The sequence below is a fragment of the Homo sapiens genome, chromosome 18 (genome assembly GCF_000001405.40).
Source record: "Homo sapiens chromosome 18, GRCh38.p14 Primary Assembly".
NCBI lineage: Eukaryota > Metazoa > Chordata > Mammalia > Primates > Hominidae > Homo > Homo sapiens.
The window spans coordinates 3,866,340-3,877,430 of NC_000018.10; the positions used below are offsets into that span (position 1 = coordinate 3,866,340).

The following is an 11,091-nucleotide window of genomic DNA, read 5'->3' on the forward strand; positions in this document are numbered from 1 at the left end:
GAGTGGGCTTATTAAGAACAGATACAGAAGTTTCCCTCCTGGATCATTAAACTCTTTCTTAGACAGCTTAGATTGATTAATAGGGAAGGAATGGGCAGTAGTTTTCAAATTATAGACAGCCCAGGTACAGGGTGGGGTGGGGTGGCTTGGGGAGAGAATTTAGATTTGAAACCTCCTGTTCTTGCGTCCATGTGAGTAGTGCTGTTTTAAATTGTTTTACATGTTTTGCTTTATTTGAACACAGACTTTGGTGGTTAAAAAGTACAAAATGCACTGGGCTAAGTGATACTTTGAGTTGTTCCAGACACCTGCTTCTATTGATGGTGTGTGTTCTTGGAAAATTAATAAAGAAAGGCATAATGAGATGCTCTTTCTAGAAACTTTAGCAATAGACAGGGCGTAGGCCACAGCAAATTAGATCCAGCCACCAGAGTGGAAAGGGCAGGGGCTGGGACTGGAAGGAAATGTCTTGAATATCCATCAAGTGTGGAATTAGTGTTATTTTTTATTTTATTTATATATATTTTTTGAGACAAAGTCTTGCTGTGTCACCCAGGATGGAGTGCAGTGGTGCTACCTTGGATCACTGTAACCTCTGCTTCGCGGGTTCAAGCAATTCTCCTGCCTCAGCTTCCCAAGGACCTGGGAACTACAGGCACATGCCACCACACCCGGCTAATTTTTTTGTATCTTTAGTAGAGACGGGGTTTCACTATGTTGGCCATGCTGGTCTTGAACTCCTGACCTCGTGATCCGCCCGCCTTGGCCTCCCAAAGTGCTGGGATTACAGGTGTGAACCACTGCGCCCAGCCAGAATCAGTGTTATTAACACTGTGAGTCACAGTGTGGGTAACATCAAGATAACTTGAAAATAAGAGGAGCTCAGGAAGACTTTTGAGTGCCACTGCTTTTCCCCGCCTCTCTCCACAACTGAGGGCCATGGAAATGCCACTTAGCCTCTCCAGATCTCAGTTGTCTCATTGTAAACTGACAATCTTGGACTAGGATTCCCTTCCAAATTATGTAATAAAATAGCTGCACAAAAGGAAAGGGAAAAGAAGTGAGAGAAGGGAGTACTGGGGAGGGGAAAGTATTGCTGAGCTCAGCTCTCTTGCTAAAGAGGGTTCACGGGGTGGGGAAGGAAGGAGGAGGGGATGAAATTAACCACTGGTATGGGTTTCTAAGGCTTGTGTCAGTAAGATCAGTGAACGAAGAAATTAAGGTCCTGCCTAGCATGGGCACAGTGTTCCAGGAGTGTCATGCCCCACTCTGGGGGCTCTGTGATGTGGACCATGGGTGGGGCCTCGTAGGCAAAAGAGAAGGGCTGTTGGGAGGAGAAATGGGGATGGGGAAAATCATTTCAAATTTCCCATGATGGAAAGGCTACAGGAATTGGTTATCTAGATTTACAAATAGAATCTAATAAATAAAACTTGTTTTTTTTTATTTTTTGTTTTTATAGCAGTGTGAAAGTCAAAGTACATGTTTTTAAAGAAGCATGAAAGTTCAGATGAGACACACTTGATGGCTTGTTCAGTTCATGAGATCTTCTGGCATGAAATAAAATGTTTCTTTTTCCATGCAGTGATTGCGTAACTCAAATATGGCAAAGCTACCTACACGATAATTTTCGGCCTGTGGATTTGATTTTTCATAAGCCTCACCACACACCCCTCACAGAAAGCTCTTGTTTCTAGTGGATTCGTTTCACCTCCTTTGTGAAAGCCTTAGAGAGAAGGCAGTAAGCAGGGAAAATCAGCTATTTATAGGCGTTTTTGACTAAAAGTGTCTGCTCAGCGTGCCATGGAATACTTCCAAGAGGTGGGAGAACAGGAAACGATCTAAAATCGACTAGAAGGCTGGAGGAGTGTTATGGGGGAATGATTTTGCAGGGGAGTCATTTTCAGAAAGCTCAGGTTTCATTTGCAAACAAATGAACTGACACCCCTTGAGTTACAGATAAGCCTTTGAAACTTTTGCTAGTTAAGGAGAGAAGACAAAGACATAAAATTTCTAAGGATTACAGGTAGGGTTCCTTTAAAGGACTTTAAAAGGAAAAGTCCTGTAGAAAGGCCTCTCTCCCTACTTATTTACTGCCTAAGGGGATGCTAGCCAGATGGACGTCCACAGAGGAGCTTAGACTGGCAGGTGGCATTCAGAGTGTAAACTGCAGGTCCTGGGATGGCCTACAGAGTCTTATAGTGTCCATAGGATGATCTCTATCATCACTAATTTCCACTTTTATAACCAAAAATGGCAAGCCTATTTGGTCAAGTTTTCATAATTAAGAGATATAATTTCATTAAATGTATTAAACCCTTCCTGTGAATTCTGAATGGTTTTGTTTTCATTGTTTTGATGACATTGGAGAAGCAGGCGAGGTAGAATTTAGACTGCCCAAAGTCACAGGGCTCACAGAAGAAGTTTGAACTTCCGATGGTTCTGTGGAGAAGAGGTCATGAGAGAGATCTGGCTTCAGTGTTTACTTGCTCTTTTCAATTTCTACAACATTAGAAGAATGATATACCTGGCTTAGCGACTTTGGGCACGAGCAAAGAAGAGTGATGGCCAAGGACATTTGGTCATCTTCTATCAATGGTGGAAAAGCACCACGGAGGAAACACTCCACAGAGAACCTGGTTCTCCTAAGCCAATTAAAGAGGTGATGATGGTGGATAGAGTTCCCTTGTAGACACCTCCTATGACTGTTATTACTAATTAAGCTTGTCCTGTTGACTTACCAGAGCTGTCTGGAATAAGGCAGCAGGAGCTTGACAGACTTAACGTATGAAAACAAAAGCAAGTGTGTATTGCGTTTTTTTTTTTTTTCCCTGTATGAATACACTAAAGCTTGAAGAAGCCAGAATTATATTCCATCAGCCAATATCAAGCCATGGGAAAACCTGATCCACTGAGGCTGAGCTATCAAAAGATTAATCCAGGCTGGTGCAGTGGCTCACAACTGTAATCTCAGCACTTCGGGAGGCCGAGGTGGGAAGATCCCTTGAGGCCAAAAGTTTAACACCATCCTAGGCAACATAGCGAAACCCCGTCTCTACATAAAAAATTAGTCTGGCACGGTGACCTGAGTCTGTAGTCCCAGCTACGCTGAAGGGTGAGGTGGGAGGGTCGCTTGAGCCCAGGAGGTCAAGGCTACAGTAAGCCATGATCACACCACTGGACTCCAGCCTGGGTGACAAAGGGAAACACTGTCTTTCAAAAAAGAAAAGAAAAAAAGATTGACTGTGATACTCTCGACTTCAGACGAAAGCTTTCTGCGTTTAGTCGGCACACAAGACAGTGAAATTTTACACCCACACTGTGATTAAGACCTACTGTCATCCCATATTGGAAAGGGCTTTTCTTTACCACAGAATCAGACATGCTAATCCCAATGCCAGCTTAATAAAAACTAGATGAAGTGAAATACAAAGGAAAAAGTGGTATGGTACATGAAACATGGGAAAGAGCTAAAGCTTGTTAATGTTTGAGGATCTACAAACTTGGAATATTTTCACACTGTATTTTTCATTTATTTCTCAAATTTGAAGTTAAATTTGTTTCTAAGACCTGAAGCAAACACAGTCATATCATCATGCCCATTTTACAGATGTAGAAATAGAAGTGCTAAGTAGAGCCCAAAGTCATGTAGCAAGCCAGCATCAATAAAGCTTGCAGTCAGAGCGCCTGAATCCCATATTTTCATCTATTAGGCTCTACTGCCCCCTTCAGTAAATACAATGAGAAATTAAGCCTTACAGTTCCCTAGAACTGGGTTACTTAAAATGCAGTTCTGGGATTGATCACTGTCAGAATCATCCCATATCTATGAAATCGGAATCTCTTGGGTGGATGCCAGAGATCCTCATTTTATAGACACTCTCAAGGTGATTCTTGTGCACATAAAATTAAGGAAGCTTTACCTCTAAATATTCAATGATAGAGCAAGTGGCCATACATATATATGATTCTCTACAGGCATACATGTGATATTATTGTGCCCATATGTACCCGTATTGATTCCACTTTACAATATTTCATGTAGCATTTCCAATTTTAGAGATAAATCCTTTCCAATCACTTACTTTTACATGTAGGGGGCAATAACTAAGAGATTAGCTTGTAGCTTTTAGCGTATGTATCCTGCACACTATTCCTCTCAGATTTGCTGCAGTTGCTCCCATTTAATATATTTGGTCCCATGGTCCCATTGTTCCAATACGTAATTCCTACCTGTCACACCATACATATTTTATACATAAATACATCTATCTATCTATCTATCTATCTATCTATCTATCTATCTATCTATCAAATAAAGTTTGGCCTTTGCAAATATGGTAACAGCTATGTTAATTTTTATCCTGGAGAAGTAAGATGAGGGATGCTGATTTCAAAGGAGTGGAAGATGCTGGAAGGATGCATGCTGTCTTCAAAATCTAACCAGGGCTCTGAGCAAATTCCCTAAAGATCACATATCCTAATGTGTTCTGCTCTATGCATCCTCCTTTGCTACGTGGTTTACCATGATCCAGGGAAAACTCATCCATTAAAGGAGGAACACACCAATTTCTTTTCTTTGGAAGTTAAAATAAATAATTGCAGGCATTATTTAGTTAATCTTTGCCTCTTCTGAGACTGTTGAGTCACAAACTTGCTTCAACTCTAACTTTCAGATAATGTCGCTTCTCCCTTTGCTTCCCTGTGCCTTGGCCCCATTGCCTTAAAAGGATGTTATGAGAATGGATAATAGAATATGTACAACATAATGGGAAGAGAACAGCACTGGTAGCCAGGCAGTGAGCCTGCGAGTGCCAGGTTCCACTGGCAAGATGACTGATTTCATCGAGGTATTTCCTTAGGATTTTTCTCTTTTCAAAAAACTAAATTGGACTAAATAATTTCAAAGCCTTCTTTTACAAGGAGATTATTAGATGAAAAATAGATAGGAAGATACAATGTCCGCATTGCAGGGAGATTAGTGTGAATGGGAAGCTACACCAGATGACCTTCTGATCAGGAGGTTCTACTATTCTAAAATTGTCATTTTAAGGGGAAAAAAACCCAACTCTGCCTGGTCCTTTAATTATGTATCTTATGATTTTAGAGTCTCGGAGAATTAAATCAGGGAGGAGTTAGACAATCTTGCAAGCGTATATTAAATTGTGGTTAAAAAAATTAAGGAGAGCAAAAGTCATTTATTTTACAATTGTTGGATTCTCCCTTATTAAGGGGACTAAAACCTCTTTATTCTTACACCAGAGAAGCAGGACATCCCTAACTAGTCTACACGAATGGTCCAAGGTGAAGTTCAATATAATCACTGGAAAAGCACAGTAATGAATTTTCCAACGTCTATGAAAAATCTGTTTCTCCACTTCATAGTCATACCTCTTCCATGGACTTTGTGAAATGGCACTCTTAAAATGGATCTGAGTTCATGAATCAGAGATCAAAAACAGCATGTGTATAAATGCATATTTTAGAAGTATTGTTGCAGGGATACCTATGCAGATAGAAGGTGTATATATAAACCTGCACACATGCACCTGGCATGCAGTAACCGCAGGCTCACATAATTCTGCTTCATAGACAGTTCTGTGATATCACAAGCCTGATTTTTGTGGGAAGTTTCCTAATTCTGTGAAACAATTAGTAGAAACTCCAGTTGACAGAGAACAGTGACCTAATATACACAAAAGGACCCACATATCCAGAAAATTCATTGTATAAATATATCTTAGAAATGGAAAAAAAGCAGGCATATTGCTAGACTTTAGCAAATGAAACAAAAAGTTTTTAATGAGAGTCCTAAATATTCCTACATTTAAAAGATCAGGGAATCAGAAGAGGTCTTTCTTTAATCACGTGAGTGCTCTCCAAGACAAAAAAAAAAAAAAAAAAAAATTAAAAACAAGAATTTGGTCAAAAGTAACAGTAAGAGTAAATGTTATGCCTTTCTTTACACAATATTTTCTCCTTTATCTCTGTGTAACAGTAATTAATTGATTCTTTATATCATTACCTTTTAGTTTATAAACATAGAGGACTGGGTTGAATATAAGTAAATCAGTCACTGAAAAAAAATTAATGCAATTACCTATTGTGGTTTTAATTTAAGAATTTGGAAAAACACTTAAATATGAATTTACCAAAATAATGTGAAAAAAAAATTCTCCCTGTGTGATAACCCACTAAGACAGATTGTTGTCTTTGAACCTAAACCCAAAGTGGTGGAAAACATAATCTAATTACAAATTAAAGTCAGCCTGGCAATACTGCATATATTTTTTAGCAGTTCCTAAAAAACCTGACACAAAAGAGCAATGTGTTCTACCATTCACAAATCACTGTGTAAAATTGTGTAATGCCATGATCTCATGTGGGCTAGAGACTGTGGGTGAATAGTTCTCTTAAAGAATGGTGAATGATTACCTTGATTTACTGTCTTTAATTTGCAATCAAGCAAACTGTCTTCTGAGGAGAATGGAAAAAGGGGAAACGAAATCTACTGGCCACTGAGAGATCCAAGGCTAGTTTTTCTCTTTCACTCTTTGCTAACTAATGCTATGCCTTTAATTAGTAGATTGGAATTCTGTGAGATCAGAAAGTGTGTGTTACAGGCAGAAACCTCTGACTGTGGCTAACCAAGCACTTTGGTGTTGCCGAAAATGTCTTTAGAAAACAGTGAAACTGAAGGCCAAGAATAATAAAGTTTCTTTAATAACTTCCAAGAAGGCTTTCCTATATATTTTTGATCTTCCCTTTACTACCACTGAGTCTTTCTGGACTGCTGCTTTCTCACAATGTTTTGTCAATTTTTTTTTCCCTTTATTAATTGGACCTGACAATAGTGAGAATAAAAGAGAATCAGAGAGAGAGAATTAACAGAATTCTGCTGCTGATCACTGATTCCACATCCAAAGTTAGCACCAGGCAGGAGCAATCTCATCTTTTTATGAATGAAGAGGGGCATCTCTACCAAGATCAGTGAAAAACAGGGAGAAGATTGTGCAAACCCAATAGGAAATCCATTCAGGAACCTTGACATTCACTTGCTGGATTATTAGGGCAATTTAAATTAAAAATAAAGAAAATCATCAATGAATGTGGTGGATGGGATTTCAGAAAAAGGCAGCAAAGAAACATCCCAGTAGCCAAAGTCATTAGCAGAACTGTTCAGCACTTTCATAAATTGCATGTAAAGTAGTTTTAACTGAATTGGGAGACTTAAAATTGTTCTAACACAAGAGGGAGGAAAACTCAGCCAGGGAAAGAAAACTCCCACTGGGCAAAGATGGAAATAATCTTGAACCAATTATTGAAAAAAATAATTTTACCTGTATTTAAAAGATCCTGGATTCATGCTTATGAATGCTTCCTCAGTGATCTTGTGTGGTACCTTATTTAAGCAGACCCCCACCCCCAAAAAGAGCAATCATCATAAATGTTAATTTTGCAAAGCAACAGTAACTATTCAGAATCCTGGTCCTGGAAAACAACCGATCATATTTCAATCACCAGCCATATAATATCCTCTAAGAGCACCTAGCAGATCTAAGGAGATCATGTGTCAATTAAAGATTTTATAAAGCCCTTGTGGAGACACAGATTTGTAGATATCTGATGTCTCCATCTGCTTTTTTACTATCTGTGCACACATTAATTTGTCAGCTCTTCCAGTCTTTCTAGCCATTATTTAGAGGAGAAATAAAATCACAAATACTACCCCTTCCTTTCCCTACCACAAAAACCATCCAAATCAACACCACACTATTACCAAATACAAAGTAATAAAAGAGTTATACCCAAACCTGGTCAGTCCTTCCATTTCTTGAAACTTGCACACAAACTGAAGAAACCCACTCAGCCTTAAAAAGGTCGATCATTTTGCTTTCCTAAAATTTCATCTCTGGGAGTGCTTTCCTTCTCGGTCTGTCTTGCTCTCTCTCTCGCTCCCTCTGTCTCTCTCTCTCCACTTCTACCGCGGAGAGAGCGTTTTGTTTCCCTTTTCCTGTTTCTACGGCTGAATGAATGCAAAATACACTGTTTGAAGGGATTTTTCTTTTAGGTTAACAGTTGGAAATCTAAAATCTTGCTCTTCTGAATGGCTTTATATGTCAGTCACTCAACATACAACATTTACATAAAGAGGCATAAACAGAACCAAGAATTCTGCTTTTTAAAAGCAAAAACAAAACAACAACAAAAACCACCTTTTATTCTATCTCTGAACCTCTTCCTATTTTATTTATTTAACTATTAAGCACTTACCCTGAGATGTGCCATAAATGCTTTATTCCAAATGTATAAGAGCCAACCACATCTCAACTGAGAATTAAACAGTTTTAATGTCTTCAAATCCATGTTCCTGCTCCCAACCCTAATACAGACAGTCACTGGCAGCGGTACAATAGTTCTAAACAGCAGACATCTGATTCTTGACATTTAAAAATAACAATATTGGAAAAAAAAGGAGTCCCTTTTTTTATTAACTGCAGACAGCTTGTGAGTGAGCACTTATCACTCATAATACAATTGACCGTATTAACTGGGACTTGCAACGATTTCAAGCTACAGTATTTGATTCCTAAGTCAATGTCAGGCAGAGGCTAAATACTTATAGACTTCTCATTTTCTATAGAATCATGGCAATGGCCTAAATTAAGCGAATTCTAAGTGATAATTCCGCAAAGAGAGAAGCAGAGCTTTGCTAGTATTTAGACTTTATTATTGGTGATTACTAATTTCATCTTTGTTAGTCTTGAATCAAATTAGGGACATAATCAGTTGTTTCATTGTTAGTCTAATTTCATATCCATGCCCTCTTAACTTCTCACATGCATATGAGGTCAAATGCACACATACATTTACCACAAAATAAATCAAGTAATAAAATAAAAAATACGCACTCATTTCCATTACTGAAGCATATTACGGAGTTGGGTAGATTTGGGATCAAGTGCTAGCTCCCCCACTTACTGTTTATGTGTTCCTGGGCAAATGATTTAAGCATTTGTGCCTGTTTTGTTGTCTATAAAACTAAAGTAAATAATACTCTACAAAGTTGTTTTGAGTACTTAATGAGACATACACAGTTTCTGGCACATAATAGATATTTGATATACACTGCTTCCTTCCTCTGCTTTGTATTTGGAGGAGGTAGAGATTGGGCATAGTAAATGAATACAGACTTTGAAAGCAGACAAATCAGTTTTGACCCAACGTGTTGCCACATACTAGCTGTGTGTCCTTGGGCAGGTTACTTAACCTAATTTACGAAATCTTAGCTTCTTCAACTGTGAAATATCTCTAGAATTTTAAAGAGCAAATTAGACAACATCTGAAAAACATACAGTAGGCATCTCTGAAATGAGAGTCCTGGGACTTCCAATTCTTGAAAATAGTTCTAATTAGTACTCTGACACATGTAATTTACGAGTTTGAAAATGCATACTGAGATCATACATCTTTTGGACCAAGCGCCTCATTTTCTAGCAGAGGAAGGAGGTCCAGAGAGCTGAAAGCATGTTTCCAGGTCATGTTACTAGTTAGCAGCAAATAAGGACTAGAACGCTCCGGGAACTAGAAGAATAGTGCTTTGCCTACTAAGTCTCTAATATTGAAGTTAAATCCATTTGTAAATCCAGCTTCAATATTAGTTGGCAATTAAGGCAATAGAGCTGAAAAAAAAAAAAAAAGAACTCCAAAGAAACCCTCTTTCCCTCTCTGTTTTCCCAAATTTACTTCTAAGAATGAGCCTATAGATGAAATTATTCCCTTGGAGCTAGCTGGCACGGGCTAACCCTATCTTCCTCAGCAGAGCTTGCACGGGGTGGCAGATCCTCTTTTCATTTCCTAGAAGCAAGAAGGGAGCCAGAAGCCCAGTTCTCAGGAGGTATTTTCTATTCTCCTCTGACCCCATATGAATATATGGCTCTTTCTTCCCTTTCTTTACAGCATCTCTTCAGCCTCAGCACAGGGGTTGGGAGGTCTACACTGTTTTACATTTAATTCTCTTACTAACATACTACCTCCCAACATTGAAATATAGATTTTTTCCCCTAGTTTGAAAGTCTTGCATAAATAGAAGCTTAATACATTCAATATCTATTAATAAGGATTAACTTGGAGTTTAGTTTAAAAGGTTGAACTAGCTTGGTTAATTATTTCCCAATGTAGGACAGAATATGTTAAACTGTTTTCAACCTTTCAATAATTTCAGAATTGAAAACAAAGGTGCTTTGGTGTCAAAGACAGATGAGCTATTACTCTGGGGAAGAAGGGAAGTAAAGGGATTAATATGAGTGTGTCTGTGATCCATTGTAATGAATGTTTTAGTTCTGTATGACGGGTGATGTATACATGGGTGTTTTATTTTTTTTCTTTATACCTTTCTGTAAGCCTCAAACGTTTCATTACAAAAATGACTTAAAGAAGGCAAATAGTTTGAAAATAGAATTTCCAAATCTTTATAGTAGGAGATCCAATAATGCTACTACTAAATCCCATACTTAAGCCTTTAAGATTTCATTCTCATTTTACTGAAAAACTTTAATAATAATATGCTTATTTTAAAGATTTTTATTTTCTTCTTGCTCACCATTTTTGATGCCCTTGATTTCAGGTCTGTGCTAGGGCATATTAGAAAGAGCTTGGTTTTGGCATCAAACATACTTGAGCCTAAATCTCAGTTGTACAACCTCCAGATTGTGGGGCTTTAAATGACTTGATATTTCTAAGTGTCAGTTTCTTCTCTTATAAAAATAGAATATTATTACATTCAGTAATCTTGGGATTATCACAAAGATTAAATGAAATAAGAAATGGGAACACATTTGCTATAGCATCTGGTATATAGTAGATTTTCAATTAATATCACTTTCCTTATCTTTCCACTTTTCACCACTACCTGAGATCGCAACTCCAAAAAGGTATAAAAAAGAAAGAAAAATGAACCTAAGGAAGGAAGAATGTAGGCATATAGGCAGATATAACGAAAACATTTCATTACTAACAAAGGCTTATGCTAGATCCATACACAGCATCCTTTACTCTGATACTTCTCATCTAATCTCATCATTACTTACT

General features: G+C 38.0%; 1 protein-coding gene across 31 annotated transcripts in view; it reads right to left on the reverse strand.

Annotated features, from left to right (window-relative positions):
* DLGAP1 (DLG associated protein 1) overlaps positions 1 to 11,091 on the reverse strand; it is a 959,276-nt gene that overhangs the window by 370,308 nt on the left and 577,877 nt on the right. For 8 of the 31 annotated variants that reach the window (NM_001242762.2, NM_001398533.1, NM_001242763.2 and 5 more), the window contains exon 1: positions 8,275 to 8,421. The exons of 11 other annotated variants lie outside the window; for them this stretch is intronic. In NM_001242762.2, the coding sequence (NP_001229691.1) occupies positions 8,275 to 8,367 (93 nt within the window). In that variant the 5' untranslated portion in view covers positions 8,368 to 8,421. Of the gene's footprint in view, positions 1 to 7,808; positions 7,964 to 8,274; positions 8,422 to 11,091 lie in introns of those variants that run through there. 12 more of the 31 variants (NM_001242764.2, NM_001308390.2, XM_017026080.2 and 9 more) reach the window with 2 other exon arrangements.